Raw genomic sequence first — 19,486 nt, 5'->3', positions numbered from 1 at the left:
ATCATGTCTTTTGCAGGAACACAGATGGAGCTAGAGGCCATTATCCTCAGCAAACTAAGACAGGAACAGAAAACCAAATACTGCATGTTCTTGTAAGTGGGAGCAAAATGATGAGAACTCATAAACAACAGACACTGGGCCCTACCTGAGGGTGTAGGGTGGGAGGAGGGAGAGGAGCAGAAAAAACTATTGGGTACTAGGCTTGGTACCTGGGTGATGAAATAATCTGTACAACAAACCCCCATGACACAAGTTTAGCTATATAACGAACGTGCATATGTACCCCCTAACCTAAAAGAAAAGTTTAAAAAGGAAAAAACACCTAGGAGAAAAGAAAAATGATAAACTAACAAAGGACAATGCTCTTAGCACCGCCATCATTCAGGAATTTCCAAGGGTTTTAGGAGCTTTGTGGTAGGAACTGGGGGCAGAGACCAAATATATATTTCTTCTTATGTTACACTACCCCAGATAGGAAAACAGAAATTAGATATTTCAAACAAAAAAGGGTTGTATATAGGCAATTAGTGCTTATCACTGGAGGGGCTAGAGGTGGTGAAGGTTGTGGGGAAGGGGTTGCACCACTGGCTTTCAGGCTACTTTACCACAGCTGATTTCCAGAGGATGGAAGAAGTCAGGAAACTTGGGAAACCGCTGCTGAGGTCCTTGCAGCCCCACGGTCCCCAGGCTGGTGACTGGTGGGGGAGTATGGAGTCCAGCTGACCACCAGAGCCTGCACACCTGCTGCTATGGGGGAGGAAAGGATGACTTCTACCTCCTTTCCACATTCCAAATTCCACGTGACTACATTTTATTGGCAGCACCCCGCTGGCAAGCGAGCCTTGATGTGTGCTTCCTGGGCTTCTGGCACCTGCACAGAAAGGGGTGAAATGAGTGTCACGAGCAGCCACCACTCTGCATCACACCTCCACATCCAGGTGTGCTGGAGAGCCCCACTTACACTTGGAGGTGTCCTGGCACCCTACCCACTTTTGGTAGGTGTTTGGGTGTCCGAGGCTTTGCAAAAGAAGAAGGCGGGGAGTCTACGGTGGAGTGACATGGAGACCTAGCTAAGTCAGAGGCCTGGAGAGGTGTCACTAGCTGGGCAGCAGGTAACACACAATCATCCTGAGCTGATTGGAGAAACACCTGGGATTGATTCAGAGTTTTTTCTGGAATGTTTTCACTGGAATGAAAGCTGAGCGGTCTGCAGGCCATATAGTATTGGAGAAAACTTAGCCCTCATTGAAAAAGGCTACCAGAGAAAAGATATCCACAGGGAAATTCAGGAGTTTTGTTTGTTTTTTCTTTTTTTTTTCTTTTAAGGTGGAGTTTTGCTCTTGTTGCTCAGTCTGGAATGCAATGGCACGATCTCAGCTCACTGCATCCTCTGCCTCCTGGGTTCAAGCAAGTCTCCTGCCTCAGCCTCCCTAGTAGCTGGGGTTACAGGCATGCGCCACCATGCCCGGCTAATTTTTGTATTTTTAGTAGAGACGGGGTTTCACCATGTTGGTCAGGCTGGTCTCGAACTCCTGACCTCAGGTAATCCACCCGCCCTGGCCTCCCAAAGGGCTGAGATTACAGGTGCGAGCTACCACGCCTGGCTTGTTTTGGGTTTTGGGGTTTTTTTGTGTTTGTTTGTTTGTTTTTGGAGACAGTCTCTGTCACCCAGGCTGGAGTGCAGTAGCGTGATCTCGGTTGACTGCAACCTCTGCCTTCCGGGTTCCAGTGATTCTCCTGCCTCAGCCTCCCGAATAGCTGGGATTACAGGCACCCACCACCATGCCTGGCCAATTTTTTTTTTCTCTAAAAACAGTTTCACCATGTTGGCCAGGCTAGTCTTGAACTCCTGACCTCAAGTGATCTGCTCACCTTGGCCTCCCAAAGTGCTAGGATTACAGGCATGAGTCACTGTGCCCCGCCAGGAAATTCAGTTTCTGAAAATACACCTGTGGATCTCTAGCCTTGAACATCCTTGGATGCTGCTTTAAATGACTGATCCTCAATGCCTCCCTTCTAACTCACACTCCCCTATATCAATCTCCCAGAAAAAGGGACCTCTTTTATTCTTTTTTTTTTTTTTTTTTTTTTTTTTCCACAGGCCTCACTTTGTTGCCCAGGCTGCTTTTGAACTCCTGGCCTCAAGTGATCCTCCCGCCTTGGTCTCTCAACGTACTGGGATTACAGGTGGGAGTCCCCGCGCCCGGCAAAGCCTATATTAAACCCTTTTATGCACACTCGGCGGTACTGCAGAGAGGGCAGGGAGGAAGCAGAGGTGCCCTGGCATCTTCAGCTGGAGGTGAGCAGGGCGCTGAGGGTGGGAGAGGCCCGGCGCCTGGGGATGGGAGGCAGGACTGCACCTTCACAGGGACGCTTCCACCCTACCCCGGAGGTTAGGGCCTCTCGCCCAGCTCTGGCTCTGAGGTCCTGGAGGGAGGGAGATGCTGTTGCGACTCAGAAGATTGGGGGAGGGCCACCCCCATTCGAGAAGAGTGAAAATCCTGAGCCTGAAGAAGTGGAACCGGTTGGAGCCGAGGCTTTAAGAGGATGGCGTTCGAAAGAGGGTCTGGCGCCGCCCTGTGGACCGTTCGGGCTCGCAGGGCCGAAGGCTCCGAAGACTGAGACCTGTGAACCATGGGGAGGCTCCATGCGGATGGGGGCCACAGCCCCCGCCGGAGCCCCCACACTAGCCCTGGACTTCTCCACTGACTTAGGACATGAGAGCTCAATAAGCTCCTTATTTAACGCACTGTTGTATCAGGTCCCTGTGGGAGCCACTGGTTCTTTAGCCTAATAAAGGAGCGGGTGCACGCACTGGATTGGTGAGCTACCGCCACTGCAACGCGTCCTAATCAACCATCCTAAACGGCGGCTCGAACAAGGTTCTCGCAGGCCTGTGCTTGGGCTTGAATGCTGGTCCAGCCGCTGCGCTCTGTGGCTCCCTGTAGGCCTGCGGATCGGCCAGGGGGCTCCGTTCCTTTTGGGCGGAGGCTGAAGAAGCAGCGGCTGCACCAGAGAAGGCCCTCTGGGTGAAGGTGGGAGCGCACGGGGCCCGCGGAACCACCTAAGGCGACTTCAGACGTGGGCTCGGAACTGGCAGCCTTTCGTTTCTGCTTCATTCCAAGGCCAGAGCAAGCCACGTGGGCAAACCCAAAGCCAGGGGACAGGAAAGTATCCTCCACCCACAACGAAACCATGGCAAGCGGTGGATGCAGGTACGGCCAATAGTCTATCTATCCCGGTGAGTGAGGAGACCTGCTTTGAGGGTTGCACAACCTGGATCTGCTTTTACAGTGGTGTCTGTCACTATGAAGACTCCACCATGGGTCGCCATCAGGTCAGGGATCCTGACAAGGCAAGAACTGCATCTTCCTCTGCACACAGCTCTGCTCCCTTCCCCGCCATGCATAACACCAAGCCCAGCCCTGAGGGATGACTCAGGAATATTACTGAGAGCATTTTAGGCCATTCCTTCATTATCCCCATGTGACTTGTTATGAAATATAGACTGACTTCCTGAAGATCAGCACATAGTGCTAAGTATTTGGCTTGTAATCTGTAGAGACTCTGCCATTTGGAGCTGGGATCTGTCCCCAGAGCTGTCAGACACCAAATCCTGTATCTACTGCCACCCAAAGGGACCTCCAGAAGAAAGGGGTTATACAGGGTCAAACACCAAGGCAGGTTAGTGAAATTTCTGTGGAGGCCATTTAAACCTGGAGTCTCACCACCTGAATTGCCCTCAGAGGACGGCTGTCTAGGGCACAAACCTAGTCAGGGGTCCACATGGACTTAAGGACATTTTTTTTTTTTTGAGACAGTCTCATTCTGTCATCAAGGCTCGAGTACAGTGGTGTGAACTCAGCTCACTGCAAGACTCAACCTCCTGGGCTCAGGTGATCCTCCCACCTCAGCCTCCCAAGTAGCGGGAACCACAGGCTCGTGCCATGATGCCCAATTAATTTTCTTTTAAATTTTTTGTAGAGATGAGGTCTCCCCGTGTTGCTCAGTCTAATCTTGAACTCCTGGACTCAAACGATCCTCCTGCCTCTGCTTCTCAAAGTCCTGGGACTACAGGTGTGAGCCAACGCACCTGGCCTCTTAAGAATAATTTTAAAAACAATGAGGTTCACCGTCAGAGCCCCTGCTGCTCTACCAAGTCCCTTGGCCCCTCTCAACAGGGCAAAAGCAAGATGAGCCCCAGATGTTCTGCTTAATGACCACCTTTCCCAGGAGACTTTGCTCTTTAAAGGAGAACCACTTAGAGATATGAGCAACCTTAAAGAATGCCACCAGCACTAGTGAATGCCAGGCACGGGCCACGTGGGTGGAGAGTATATTTTAGGGCAGTCACTCATGGTAAATTATTTCCACCAGCCCCCAGAAGTGACTATTCAATGTCCAACTATGTCAGGCCCAGGCTAATAAAAGTAGAGGCATGAGGAACCTAGGGTTGTTCTGAAGTGCCTTGATTATGGTATATGTGGAAGATTTTAGAGCTTGTTGTAAAAAGTGATGACCCATGGCCCCCCAGGCTGGGTCTGGGATTGCCTTTGTGGATTACAAGAGGATATTATGCAGCAGTTTTTAAAAATGAGGCAGACTGGGACAATCTATCTCCAAGATGCATAGGTGCTGTTAAGGGAACAAAGCAAGATTTAGTAGGGCGTGTATAGTATGCTACTGTGCACTGTGCGTTATCTGTACAGAACTGTGAGGTCTGATACAGTAGCCACTAGCCACATATGGCTATTTACATATAAACTTAGGTTGGCCACAGTGGCTCATGCCTGTAATCCTAGCACTTTGGGAGGCCAAGTGGGAGGATAGCTTGAGGCCAATAGTTCAAGAACACCCTGGGCAACATAGTGAAGCCCCTTTTCTACAAAAAATTTATTTATTTTTATTTTTTTTGAGACGGGTCTCACTCTGTCACCCAGGCTGCAGTGCAGTGGCGCAGTCTCAGCTTATTACAACATCTGTCTCCTGGGTTCAAGCGATTATCGTGCCTCAGCCTCCAAGTAGCTGGGACTACAGGCACGCACCACCATACCCAGCAAATTTTTGTATTTTTGGTAGAGACAAGGTTTCGCCATGTTGGCCAGGCTGGTCTCGAACTCCTGACCTCAGGTGATCTGCCCGCCTCAGCCTCCCAAAGTGCTGAGATTACAGGCATGAGCCACTGCGCCCAGGCAAAAAATTTAAAATAGTAAAAATCAGCCAAACATGGTGGCATTCATCTGTAGTCCCAGCAACTTAGGAGGCTGAGGTGGGAGGATTTCTTGAGCCCAGGAGGTCAAGGTTGCAGTGACCTATGACTGCACCACTGCACTCCAGCCTGGACAACAGAGTGAGGCCCTGTCTCAAAAAATAAATAAATAGGAGTTTGAGGCCATGTTCACACTCACTGCAGTCCAGTCTGGTAAACAGAGCAAGACGCTGAGTCTTTAAAAAAAAAAAAATTTTTTTTAAAGTCAGCTGCTAAGACACACTAGCCACATATCAAGTGCTCAACTGCCCCGTGTGGCTAATGGCTTCCAAACTGGCAGCACAGGCAACTGTTTTCATCACTGAAGTTCTGTTGGACAAGAATACCTCTGGAAGCACACACGAGAAACTGGTAATGGCGGTTGCCTTCGGGGAGGGAAACTGGGAGAGTGCAGGGCTGTATGCCCTTTTGTACCTCTTGAATTTCATATCATGCGTTTGTACTAGGTGTTTACAAATTATTTTAAAAACATACTGGGAATTAGGAATCCCCATATGGAATCACTGCAGTGGGACACTGATTCCCAAAAAATTACTTTGCAATTTGCCTAAAACAAATTAAGCTAATAGCTATCATGATTTCATATTTAATATTTTTTCACAGCTTAGAGTTTTTTTAGCTCCTGTTGCTATCTCTCTGCTCTTATGAGCTCACAGGGTGACAAAGTGAATTAGTAAGTAGCAGGAGAACATTAAAGGAAAAACTCCTGGGCAACAGGGCAAAACGCCGGCTCTACAGAAAATACAAAACATTAGCCAGGCATGGTGGCATGCACCTATGGTCTTAGCGACTTGGGAGGCTGAGGTGGGAGGATCGCTTGAGCCCGGAAGGCGGTAACTCAATCCCAGCAGAATCCCAGGGAGCGAAGGTGGCTCATCCCAAAAGAAAAACAAGAAGGAAATTCTATTACCAGAAGACAAAGGGATGAAATGAGGGATGGAGAATCAAAGACTGAAGCTACTAGGGTTTGTTTTTATTAATATTTAATTTTTTCAGAGGCAAGGGTCTCAGCATGTTGCCCAGGCTGGCCTTGAACTCCTGGCCTCAAGCAATCCTCCTGCCTGAGCCTTCCGAGTTGTTGGGATTACAGATATGAGCCACTGCATCCAACTTTGGTTCTTGTTTGTCTGTTTTGTTTTGTTTTGTTTTTTTGACAGAGTTTTGCTGTGCCACCCAGGCTGGAGTGCAGTGACTCAGCCTCGGCTCACTGCAGCCTTGACCTTCTGGCCTCAAGTGATCCTCCCACCTCAGCGCCAACCCCCACTGCCCTCCAATATCTGGGACTACAGGTGCGCGTGACCGCGCACAGCTAATTTTTAAATTTTTTGTAGAGATAGGGTTTCACTATGTGGCTCAGGCTGGTCTCCAACTCCTGGACTAAGCGATCTGCCTGCCTTGGCCACCTCCCAAAGTGTGAGCCACCGTGCCCACCCATTGAACATTGAAGCTAGACTGGGCAAACCCTTAAGCCTAAACCAGTAACAGTTTTTCACAAGTTCATAGATGTTACTGTGGTTAATAACACACAAATTCATTTAAAAGCATGTGTGTCCTCATAGTAATTTTTGGTCCTTATTTTTATTTTTATTTTTCAGTTAATGGATATTAAAGATACAACTTTATTTTGTTTTTTTTGAGACAGGGTCTCACTCTGTCGCCCAGGCTGGAGTGCAGTGGCATGATCAGAGCTCATTGCAACCTCCACCTCCTGGGTTCAAGAGATTCTCCTCCCTCAGCTTCCTGAGTAGCTGGGATTGCAGGTACATGCAACCACACCTGGCTAATTTTTGTACTTTTTGTAGAGATAGGGTTTTACCATGTTGCTCACGCTGGTTTTGAACTCCTGAGCTCAAGTGATCCACCTGCCTCGGCCTCCCAAACTGCTGGGATTACACACGTGAGCCACCACACCCGGCCTAAAGATATAATTTCTATCATGAGGAGATCCAAGAACTATTCTCTTTTTCTTTTTTTAATGTTAGAAAGGGATTCTTAACTGAGTATGTGCTGCAGCAAAGGGAGGGGAAATTAAGCAAGAAGAGAAGGGAGCCAGGAAATAAAGGCCCCAACCCAGGAAGCAGTTAAGCAAAGTTCCAGGATGACCACATGTGACAAGTTTAGGGGATAACTTGAGCACATGGAGGACAGAACTTGGAGAGGGCACTGTGGGCCTGGGCGCCACCTGCTCCACCAGAGCACTGGAAGAGAACGATGGCACGATAATGGCAGATGGCACTGAAAGAAAAGGAGAGAGCTTGAGGCACCCTTGGGGGAAGCAGCCATCATCAGAGTGTATTTTATTTTTATTTTATTATATTTTGAGATAGAGTCTCACTCTGTTGCCCAGGCTGGAGTGCAGTGGCATGATCTCGGCTCACTGCAACCTCCACCTCCCAGGTTCCAGTGATTCTCTGCCTCAGCCTCCCAAGTAGCTGAGACTACAGGGGGCACCACCACACCGGCTAATTTTTGTATTTTTAGTAGAGATGGGGTTTCTCCATGTTGGCCAGGTTGGTCTTGAACTCCCGACCTCAGGTGATCCGCCCACCTTGGCCTCCCGAAGTGCTGGGATTACAGGCGTGAGCCACCATGCCTGACCTCACAGCACATTATTAAGCTCTGTGGTGAATAATATTTATATAGTCACAATTCTGTAAACACTGTTCATTTTCTACAAATTGTGGCAAACCCAAACCTCAAGAATGGACAGGGCTGGGGTGTAAAAGAGCTAAGTCCTTGCCAGGTTTACCAGGAAGGCAACAGACAGTGTCTAAAACTATGAGACAGCTGGGCGCGGTGGCTCACGCCTGTAATCCCAGCACTTTGGGAGGCCAAGGCAGGTGGATCACGTGAGGTCAGGAGTTTGAGATCAGCCTTGACAACATGGTGAAACCCCGCGTCTACTAAAAATATCAAATTAGCTGGGCATGGTGGCAGGTGCCTGTAATCCCAGCTAGTAGGGAGGCTGAGGCAGGAGCATTGCTTGAACCCAGGAGGGGGAGGTTGCAGTGAGCCAAGATGGCACCACTGCACTCCAGCCTGGGTGACAGAGTGAGACTGTGTCTCAAAAAAATAATAAAATACAAACAATGAGACGTGCAGGAGATGTGGGGAGAAGCACCAGAAGATTCTGCTGAAAGCCTGCTCCCCAGAAGGGTGGGAACAATAGGGACAATGAACTGCTGTTGTTCGTTATGTTTCATCCCCATTCCGTTTCATTTTATTGAATTGTAAACCGTGTGTATAACAACACTTTTTAATCAATTTTTTAAAAAAGAGAGAGTGGAAAGAAACCGCTTCCTACAACAGAACTGAAGAGCACACCAGTGATTACAGTGTCCAGAGAGGAGGGTGCATTAACACTAGTTTTATTATTTCAATCAGATGCCAAGCAAGAATATATCTGGGGTTCAGACAAGAAAGGCTCTCATTCAAGTGCTTACAAGAGCAATGGAAGGCAAGGACCTGCCCAATTGGCAGGGTGAAAATTAGCCACAACTAGAATAGTAACAACTGTTCATCTTTGAGCACTTACTACAGGCCAGAACTTGCATTAAGGATATCATCTTTTTCTTTTCTTTTTTTCTTTTCCTTTTTTTTTTTTTTTTTTTGTTGTTGTTGTTTTGGAACAGAGTCTCACTCTGTCATGTAGGCTGCAGTGCAGTGGCGCAATCTCAGCTCACTGCAACCTCAGCCTCCCAGGTTCAAGCGATTCTTGTGCCTCAGCCTCACAAGTACCTGGGACTACAGGCATGAACCACCATGCCTGGCTAATTTTTGTATCTTTGGTAGAGATGGGGTTTCACCATGTTGGCCAGGCTGGTTTCGAACTCCTGGCCTCAAGTAATCCACCCACCTCAGCCTCCCAAAGTTATGGGATTACAGGCGTGAGCCACTGTGCCCAGCCAGGATATCATGATATTTACTCCTCACATCAACTGACATTAGCCCCTATTTACAATGAGGAACTGAGGCTCAGAGAGGTTTTGGCACTTGCCTGAGGTCACACACTCTGGGCTCTCTGCTTGGGGCTGAGGGCGAAGGGGCGTTGTGACTTACTTCTCTTTCCTGAACATCAATAAAATTCAATTTAGAAATTTCTGTCTTCAGTGCGATCTCAACGGGCCTGTGAAAAATGCTGACTCGGTGGCAGCTGTCAGCTATCTTAGCCCCATACTCATTGGGTTGCCCTGGGCCCCACACTGTTTTAAGGAAGTCCCAGCAAACAATATGGGATAGAGATGAGATTCAAACCTAAACAGCCCTGGCTCTAAAATCCACTGAACAAAGCTGAAACTAGAATCAGAAAGAACTAGGTAAGAATCCTACTTCTAGCACTTACTACTTCTGTGGCTGTGGCCCCCCCGCAAGTTACTTAACCTCTTTTTTTTTTTTTTTTAAGAGATGAAGTCTCGCTCTGTCACCAGGCTGGAGTGCAGTGGCGTGATCTCGGTTCACTGCAACCTCTGCCTCCTGGGTTCAAGCGATTCTCCTGCTTCAGCCTCCCAAGTAGCTGGGACTACAGATGCGTGCTACCACGCCCAGCTAATTCTTTGTATTTTAGTAGAGACAGGGTTTCACCATGTTGGCCAGGATGGTCTGGATCTCTTGATCTCATGATCCACCCACCTCGGCCTCCCAAAGTGCTGGGATTACAGGCATGAGCCACCGCACCTGGCCACTTAACCTCTTTTAAGCCTATTTTCTCATCCATACAATAGAGATAATGGCAGCACCCACCTTTCAGGTGGCTGGTAAGGAATATTAGGTGAACACAGGTGCCTATGTATGTTCTTCCATTTTCCATAAATGTTAATTCCCTTATCCCTCATCTCCTAGGTTAGTCCCGGAGGACAGACTTGAACTTTGAAAACAGAAAGTAACTGCCAAAAGGGATTATTTAGGGCACAGATTTCCCCCTTTCATTATCCTTTAGGTCCTCAGTGGTGAGGGCAGGGGACAGGAGAGGTGGGGTGAAGCCCAAATTCTTGGACCTCATCCTAGAGTGACTCTTTAGGGTTAGTGTGGGGCTTAGGAATCTGCATTTTGGACCTGTCCCCAGGGCATTCTGATGCCTACAGTTCTCCTGTGTGGCTTTGAATAACGCTGGGTAGTGCTTTAAATCCAAGCTGACAGACCAGTGGGATGTGAACCATCCTTGCAAATGGTTTGAGCCCTTTCTGCACTGGCCTCCAACTTTGCCTTGCTCAGTCTTCAGCTCCCCTTCCATTCTGGCCCTCTCCCCTTACCCTTTCCTTTTTCACTTCCTTTTATTTTTATTTATTTTTATTATTATTTAAAAAAAATTTTTTTTGAGACAGGATCTCACTCTGTCGCCCAGGCTGTAGTGCAGTGGCATTATCTTGGCTCACTGCAATCTCCGCCTCCCGGGTTCAAGCAATTCTCATACCTCAGCCTCCTTAGTAGCTGGGACTACAGACACACACCACCACACCTGGCTAATTTTTGTATTTTTAGTAGAGATGGGCTTTCACCATGTTGGCCAGGCAGGTCTCGAACTCCTGACCTCAAGTGATCCACCAGCTTCGGCCACCCAAAGTGCTGGGATTACAGGCATGACCCACCGTGCCCAGCCTCCTTTTTCACTTCCCACCTTCCTCCCCACCTCTGGGTGCACCCTTCCCTGAGCTCAGCCTGTATTCCTATGTGCTGGCCACTTACCAGCCAGTCCCTTCAGCTGCAATACCCTTTACTCACCTAGAAAGCTCATATCAAAAGTCGCCTCCTCCAGAATACCTCTCAAGTTCTCCTCTCTGGTCCCTTGGCCCTTTGCAGGTACCTTTTTTCTTGCGCAAGTCACGTGATAATGTAAGGGTTTTTTTTTTTTTTTTCCCCCCCATCTGGAGCCTGCCTGGTGGGCTCAGGGTCCATTTGTGCAAACATGCATTTCCCTCTCCTCTGCGCCCCCTCCTTCATGATCCATGCTTTATGCAGCTTCCCCAAGGCATGCAGAGCAAGCTGAGAAGAGGTAGGCAAGCCTGAAGACTTTTCAAAGAAGCAGGGTAGCTTGGGAAGTAAGAGAAGACCAGGAGATAGGGGCTCCTAAAAAGCAGACAAGAGATTACCGAGGGGTTCCCCACAGCTCCAGCACACAGCCGCTGCACAAAAATGCAGTGGAATTACTGAGGGACATTATGTGCTTGATGGGGGACAGGGAATGCTTGTGCCAAGCCACCAAGGATTATGCTGTGCCAGTTGTATACTATCGTTTTGCCAAGGTGAAAGGATTTCCCTACTAAATCCCTTACTTTCCACTTTGTTTAAAATGAGTTTAACACCGAGAGAATAGTTTGTCTCTATGTCCTTATTTCTAATCTTCCTGCTCAACCATTAACTGCAGTAAACACACTCAGACCCATCTAGTCTAAAATTGAGAAGGGGAGGTTCTCACTCCTGGAGAGAGAATTACTGAAAGGGCGGCCCTCATACAGTCCAGGGTCATACCCCCAAGTGCTGGTTTTATACTTGAAAGCAGACAGTGGGACTCTGAACTTTGCAGAGATAAGAGGGACACCTTCCTACCCAGAGAAGCCAAAAGAGCACAGGACGCCCAGGCCGAGGGCAGTGAAGCTTGCTTCCAAGAACTGGCCCGTTCCCCAGCCAACCCCTGTGCCCACTTAGGACTGGCATGTAGCAGTACCTCTCCTCATCCACACTCAGGCCCTAGGCTCCCAATTGACCAAAGCCTGCAAGTATAAAGTGTCCAGAGCATGGGTCCCTGCCAACACTCCCTGCCCTGCTCTTCACTACCTGTGGCCACCACTTATGACATTTTGTTCCGAGTTCATCTGAAAGAGAAATGTCACTTTTGCGTTAGAAAGAAGATATACAGGCCAGGTGTGGTGGTTCATGCCTGTAATCCCAGCACTTTGGGAGGCCGAGTCAGGAGGATCGCCTGAGGCCAGGAGTTGGAGACCAGGTTAGGTAACACAGTGAGACCCCTGTCTCTACAAAATAAACAAATTTTTTTAAAAATGAAAAGATTGGCCGGGCGCGGTGGCTCACGCCTGTGATCCCAGCACTTTGGGAGGCCGAGGCGGGTGGATCACCAGGTCAGGAGATCGAGACCATCCTGGCTAACACGGTGAAACCCCATCTCTACTAAAAACATAAAAAAATTAGCCGGGCGTGGTGGCGGGCTCCTGTAGTCCCAGCTACTCGGGAGGCTGAGGCAGGAGAATGGCGTCAATCCAGGAGGCGGAGCTTGCAGTGAGCCGAGATCGCGCCATTGCACTCCAGCCTGGGCGACAGAGCCAGACTCCGTCGCAAAAAAAAAAAAAAAAAGAAAAAAGAAAAAATTAGCTGGGCGTGGTGGTGCACGCCTGTAGTCCCAGCTGCTTGGAGGCTGAGGTGGGAGAACCACTTAGTCCGTGAGGTCAAAGCTGTGGTGAGCCGTGATCGTGCCACAGCACTCCAGTCTGGGCGACAGAGTGAGACCCTGTCTCAAAAAAAAAGCAGAAAGGAAGAAAGAAATCCTCTACACGGGCTAGAAGAGAATAACCAGACCCCTAAGCTTCAAGCCAGGCGGTGCTAATGGGCGAGTTACACACGGGAGAGTGCCCAAGGGGACCTCAAGGCGTTCCCTTGGGATAAAGTGTGGTCAAAACAGCTATGTTTATCCTGAAAGCGCAAGGCGGAGGCTCCAATTTGGGCCCGGGCTCCGCCCCACGGGCTGCACTGCTGCCCTCGGAGAGGCAAAGATAGGGCAGGCGTTATTAGTCCCACTCACAAGTGGGAACTCTTCAGCTGAGGGAGGCGAAGTGACAGCCCCAATGTTGCACAGATGGTTCTGAGGCCAAACGAGGTCAGGAACCCAGAAGCCAGGATCTAGTTTGACGCAGACCTGCGGGAGGCGGGCGGTAACGGATGCGTTCTCCCTGACACCGGTGCCTTCGCCTCTCTGCGCCCTGCAGGCGCCCCCAGTTCCCCAGCCTCCCAGACCTCGCATCTGCCCCGGGGCTCAGCTCCCAGGGACTTCCGGGAGCAGCTGGCCCCGCCCCAAGGCTCCTTCGGGCTGCGCGATTGGCACCGCGGGCCGGGGCAGGGCCGGAGCGCCGAGCCAACGTGATGGCGTCAGGGGCCGGGGCGCCGCTTCCTGTTGTCAGTGGCCGAGAGACCGCATCGTCGGCTCGGAGGCTGAGGGGCTGCCGCGGCCGGGAGCGCCCCTCGCCTCGCTCCTCGCTCCGCTTGGTGAGTTAGGGGGTCAAGATGCGAGGAGGGCGGCGGAGTGGTGGGAGGGCCGAGGCGCGAACGGGCGGTGGGCCTCCCGCTCCCTCCGCGATTCCCAGCCCCTGGTTACCCTGAGACTGCCCGGCTTCAGGGCCCTCAGCCCTGTCCAGCCCGCGCCCGCTCCTCTCCGACCCAGCCTTCCCCCTGCACCGCCGCTGTGGCCCCGTCCCCTCCGTCTGTCCAGCCCCCAGCCCGCGCCCGCATCCCCTCACCAGCGGTCTTGCTTAAATGCAGCTTCACTCGTGACCCCACTTTACCCCAGTTCCAACACCGATCTCGGCCACGTCCCTTCGCCCCGCCCTGACACACCTCATCCTCTCTCCCCACCCCTCTGGTAATCCCGATGCTCCGCGCTTACCTCCCCGAGACCCACCATTCAGGTTTCCCCTTTTCTGGCTCAGCTTTCTTATCCCAGTCACCCCCATCCCCCGTCTAGCTCCCCAAGATCTGCTCATCCCAAACATTCTACCTCCGCCCTCTCATCTAAGACCCACCCCCAAAGTAGGTGCCCTGTTGAGCTCACCGCTTTCTTCTGGATAACTCCGATCTCAGCCTTATTCCAAGTCTTAACTGTGTCTTCTCGTCCTTAGTCTCCTAGCCACTGTATACCTTCCTTTGCGTCTCCTGCCGTACTGAGGACAGCCCATCCCTAAGTCTTTGCCAAACTGTCCCGAACTCTTGCTGCCTCCTTTCCTACCACCCTCACCCAATCTTGTTAAAAATGACATCTCCATGTCCTTTCACCCCCGCTGACCCACCGCAACTCTTCACCCCAACTCTGCGTCCATTGCTTCCCTCGACCCAACTCCCATTCAACCTGAGAACTTAGTGCAGAGTCGCCTGCCAACTCCACCAGCTGCCCCTCAACAGCCAAATGTAGGTGCTCACTCAGACCCGCAGTTACAGACTGAGCAGCATGATTGGCGGGTGCAGGGGCTCAGGTGGTAAATAAGGGTGGAGGAGCAGTGGGCTCTCCCCAACTCTTGGGTGGGGCCGGGGTTTTTCCTGGCATCTGGTCTCCTGCACCTGTCCTCAGGGATTGTGTTTTTGGCATTCATATTAAATGACTTGTGCTGGCTGCTGGAATGGTAGGTATCATTCAAATATCTGGAAGGTGAGAGACGGCCACTCACTCAGCTCACTTAGCACAGAATGATGGAAGCTGTCACTTCCTTCTGGTTGGTGTTCTCGCCCTGGAGAGCTTCTGGGAAGTTCTGTGTGGTGTTGGCTGTGGTCACAGAATATTGTTCGTGTTCCTTTTCTTGGCACTTGTAAGGGCCTCTCCCTGCCAGAGCTGATGGCAGATCAGTCCTGATGCTGAATTCAGGGGATATGATGGGTGCCAGAGGCAACGTTACCTGTTGTGAAGAGTATAGGTGAGTAGGTCCTGGGGAGGCTGAGGCCTAGGTGGGTACAGAGGCTCTTGAATCGCTTTCTTTTCTTTTAAGTGCTGGATCATTGACTTTTGGCCATCTGGGTTCCATGAACACAGGGAACCATGTTATCTCAGAGTAGCTGAGGCAGAAGGACATTCCAGAGGCACCCAAGTCCCATGCTCAGCATTTATAGTTTCCTGGGGGCTTTTTGGTACACATTTTCTCTGAATCCTGAGGACCCGGCATCAGATGGGTGGGCCATTTGATTGCAGCTTTTTTCTTTCTTTCTTTCTTTTTTTCGACGGAGTTTACTCTTGTTCCCCAGCCTGGAGTGCAGTGGCATGATCTCGGCTCACCGCAACCTCTGCCTCCCAGGTTCAAGCGATTCTCCTGCCTCAGCCTCCCGAGTAGCTGGGATTACAGGCATACACCACCATGCCCGGCTAGTTTTGTATTTTTAGTAGAGATGGGGGTTTCTCTGTGTTGATCAGGCTGGTCTCCAACTCCCGACCTCAGGTGATCCACCCACCTCGGCCTCCCAAAGTGCTGGGATTACGGGCGTGAGCCGCCGCACCTGGCTGATTGCAGTTTTAAAGAGCCCCAAAGAACACTGTCTCTGCTTGCCACTTATAGTCGTATTCCTTTGAAAAGTGAATGCTGTTTACCTTCAATGTCCTCCCATTAATATGCAGTATATTTAAGTTGTTTTCAGCCTTATTGGCAGCTTGGCTTAATGACAGGAGCTCCACAGTTGCCCCAGCACTTAAGAGTTGTATACCCCAACTTCCCACAGTGTGTGAAGTGGAGGTACTTACCCCGTGCCTTGTTTTTATTTTATTAATCAATTCATTCAACAGCTTATTTTTTGAGCACCAGTGTGTGACAAACACTGTTCCAGGTACTAGAAATACAATGGTGAATGGGTCAGGCAACGGTCCTGTTTTCATTCATTCAGAGTTTGGTCCTTGTTAGAATCCTCTGGGATATGGGACAAGAATACAGGAAAGCTGGGTGATACTGGATGGAAGGAAGGAGGGAGGAAAGAAAGATAGCTAGTGTTCACTGACTCCACAATTCTGCCCTCATCCACTAGCCCTGAGTCTGGGAATCACAAGCTAAAAGTTTCTCACCCTTCATCTGGTATTTAATTGCTTCAAAGCTCCAACCCCCACCACTCCACCCATCACAGAAATCCAGCTTTCCTCAGGTGGACAGAGGTGCAGTTTCCTCAGTCAGCACTCACATGCCTGAAAGATCAGCTGCCTTTCTGAATCAGAGGATAACTTTGTCATTCTTTTCCAATTGAAAAAACATGACTCATCAATTGGTACAGCAGTTGGATGGCTTAAAGCCAGGCTGTGGCTCTGAACAGCCAGTTACACAATTCAGGCAGTGGAGAGAAGGCCGTGGGGAGTGGCTGAGGAGTCCCTCAAGAGAAGAGGTTGCTGTTCACTGATGGTGGAGTGTTTTGAGAGTGGTGGAACCAGGTTATCCCTTTCTTCTTTTAACGTAAGTCTCATCCAAGTCATTCTCTTTTTTTGCTTCCTTGATCTCTGGAGGAAGTGAAATTGGACATATAGAGAAGGCCAGGCAGTATAATGCAGGAAACCAACCGGAACTGTTCCTTCCTAACTATGTTGGAACATTTAAGAAAGTATAGCTCTGAGACTTTAGGAGCATTGGTAGGACCTGGTCTCAGCTGGTTGGGGCTATAAACCTGATTGGCAGAACTGTTTCTTGTTGGTTTCAGACCTTCTGTGATGAAATGGAGCTTCCGAGTACCTCTAAAGAAGAAGTAATAGTTTGTCTGAATTTGAGCCAAAGACCTGAGGCCTTTTGGTCCAGGGAAAGATGCAGGAGTTGGGATGAAGAAACCAGAGAGTTCTGTCCCTTACCCGAGACCCATTGCTACTGAGCCTCAGTTTTGTCCTCTGTAAAACAGGGATAATCACTCTCTCACGGGATTGCTGTGAGAATTAAATGAGGTTAGAGAGGGACATCAGAGAAGCTTGCTTTCTGCACTCTGGAGAGCTATGTGAAGGCGAATGAATACACAGGGTGGCAGTAGACTTGGTGTGGTTTGGGGCTTCCTAAATGGCACCAGTCACCTTTCCCCTGCTAAGATTTCACCCGTCATGTTCAAGAGCCCTTTGGTACTGTTGCCCAGCTTTGCCTCACTCCCTTCAGGTAGGTCTCCTTGAAGCCACACCTCTCTTCACTTTGGTTCTTTGTGTCAATGAAGAGCGTTTTGAGGACAGAAAGTGGAACCAGTTCCATAGGATGGTAGATTCAGAATCTGGGCCACCAGGGTGGGTGACGCAGTACTGTCCCCACAGTCAAGAGACACAAAGCCTCCTTCTGATTCCCGCCGTGAGTTCTTATGTCACTGACCATCTGAGCCCTGCCTCCCTGAGCATGATGGAACAGATACAGATAGGTGGGGTGCTATGGCTGCCTACAAACAGAGGTGTCCTGCATTGTGGCTGGAACCCCAGAGGCTCAGTCCTGTCTTGTGAATTTTCAAGTGGCTCTTCTGCTGGATTTCTCTGAGCTCTTGTCAGTCATTTTGTGGCATTTCTGACTCTGTTTTAGGCCAAGTGACCCTTCTCTTGTCTGGCCCTGTCTCTCTTAGCTTCAGTTTATTATTATTAATTTTTTTTTTTGAGATGGAGTCTCGCTCTGTTGCCCAAGCTGGGGTGCAGTGGCACAATCTTGGCTCACTGCAAGCTCCACCTCCTGGGTCCACGCCATTCTCCTGCCTCAGCCTCCCAAGTAGCTGGGACTACAGGTGCCCGCCCGGCTAATTTTTTGTATTTTTAGTAGAGATGGGGTTTCACCGTGTTAGCCAGGATGGTCTCGATCTCCTGACCTCGTGATCCACCCGCCTCGGCCTCCCAAAGTGCTGGGATTACAGGCGTGAGCCACCGCGCCCAGCCAGCTTCAGTTTATTATTTATTTATTTATTTGAGACATAAATTATTATTATTATTATTATTTTTTTATTTTATCTTTTTTTTTTTGAGACGGAGTCTCTCTCTGTCGCCTAGGCTGGAGTGCAGTGGCGGGATCTCGGCTCACTGCAAGCTCCGCCTCCCAGGTTCACGCCATTCTCCTGCCTCAGCCTCCCGAGTAGCTGGGACTACAGGCGCTCACCACTGCACCCGGCTAATTTTTTTGTATTTTTAGTAGAGACGGGGTTTCACCGTGTTAGCCAGGATGGTCTCGATCTCCTGACCTCGTGATCCGCCGGCCTCGGCCTCCCAAAGTGCTGGGATTACAGGCGTGAGCCACGGCGCCATGCCATAAATTATTTATTTATTTATTTATTCTTGCTTTGCTGCCCCGGCTGGAGTGCAGTGGCATGATCTCGACTCACTGCAACCTCCGCCTCCTGGGTTCAAGTGGTTCTCCTGCCTCAGCCGGTATGGTAGCTGGTAATACCAGTAGCTGGTATTACAGGCATGGGCCACCATGCCTGGCTAATTTTTGTTTTTTTTTTTAATTAGAGATAGGGTTTCACCATGTTGGCCAGGCTGGTCTCAAACTCCTGACCTCAAGTGATCCTCCTGCCTCGGCCTCCCAAAGTGCTGGGATTACAGGTGTGGGCCACGGCACCTGGCCTATTTTGTCTTCTTAGCATACTGTTACTTGGCCAGAGCACTCACTTACCAATGGCCTGCTCCTCCCAGTGAATACTCTGTGAATACTCTATCACTCTCAGCTAATTAGTTAATGAGGTCTTAATGGGCCTGGGCTATAATTCAAATTATTGGGTCTAAGTCCTTAGGGTCCCGGCCCTGTAGCTGGTTAAGGGAAGGGCAACTTTGGGGCTTCGGGCTCTCTCTAGAAGGGTGGGCCTGAGGGCCTCAGGCCACTGGAAATTGTGGACTGGGATTGGAGCCCAGGGTTTCGGAGCCAGAGAAGCTGGACGTGGCCTGCTGAGCTGCAAAAGGGTAGCCTTGATGGAGCCTGACCTCAAGACCAGGCCTGTTTCTGGAAGTGACCCTAGATGCAGAGTCACTGCAGCATACAACCCCCTTTTCCTGTCACCCCGTGGCCAGAATGTGGAACTGGTCTCCAGAGGAGGGCTCTGAGAATCCCTGGGTAGCTGGGAGCAGACTATGGTGAAGGGTGAGGCAGTCAGATGGGGCTGTAGTCAGGACTGAGGGCTCTTCTGGCCATCTGCAGCACCCGGCCTGTTACTGGGTCTGCAGGAACCATCCTCCATACATGCCTGCTTCCTCCTGAGGGACCTGACTTAGGGAGGTTGGCTCTGGGTCCTGACTCCCTGTGTCCTGTTTGCCCTCTGCTATCCCCAGAAGCCAGAGATCCAATCAGAGCACCTTCCACCATTTAGGGCCAGCCTGCCTGTCTGCTTTCCAAACCTCATGCTGCTCCAGGGCTGTCCAGGAAACCTTTCCTGCCACACTGGCCTTAATGTTCCCCTGCACCCCCTGTTCCCGGCCCCCAGCGAAAGGGTCTTCCCAGACCACCCCTGGAATCCTAGCTCTGAGGTGATGGCACTGTTGATGAAAAAGCCAAACTCTGTTAAATATTCGAAGAGGTTTATTCTGAGCCAAATGTGAGGGCC

General features: G+C 50.2%; 1 protein-coding gene and 1 long non-coding RNA gene across 15 annotated transcripts in view; one reads left to right on the top strand and one right to left on the bottom strand.

The window, feature by feature from the left end:
* The window catches only part of LOC105369225 (uncharacterized), a 72,359-nt gene extending 59,099 nt beyond the window's left edge, over nt 1-13,260 (bottom strand). The window contains exon 1 of one of the 4 annotated variants that reach the window (XR_002958152.2): nt 606-13,260. This is a non-coding gene — a long non-coding RNA (uncharacterized LOC105369225). The remainder of the gene's footprint in view (nt 1-605) is intronic. The other 3 variants (XR_007065814.1, XR_007065816.1, XR_001752910.3) reach the window with 3 other exon arrangements.
* Nucleotides 13,411-19,486, top strand: part of PLEKHM1 (pleckstrin homology and RUN domain containing M1) — a 56,513-nt gene continuing 50,437 nt past the window's right edge. For 5 of the 11 annotated variants that reach the window (XM_047437188.1, XM_017025452.2, XM_047437190.1 and 2 more), the window contains exon 1: nt 13,411-14,895. Coding sequence is in view for 2 of the 11 variants with exons in the window: in XM_011525525.1 (XP_011523827.1) it covers nt 16,351-16,404 (54 nt within the window). In the remaining 9 variants the exon portion in view is untranslated. Of the gene's footprint in view, nt 14,896-16,269; nt 16,405-19,486 lie in introns of those variants that run through there. The other 6 variants (NR_027774.2, NR_027782.2, NM_014798.3 and 3 more) reach the window with 2 other exon arrangements.

Source organism: Homo sapiens, chromosome 17 (genome assembly GCF_000001405.40).
Source record: "Homo sapiens chromosome 17, GRCh38.p14 Primary Assembly".
Taxonomy (NCBI): Eukaryota; Metazoa; Chordata; class Mammalia; order Primates; family Hominidae; genus Homo; species Homo sapiens.
The sequence above is the reverse complement of the archived record's forward strand: the minus strand, read 5'-3'. Positions and strand labels throughout refer to the sequence as shown.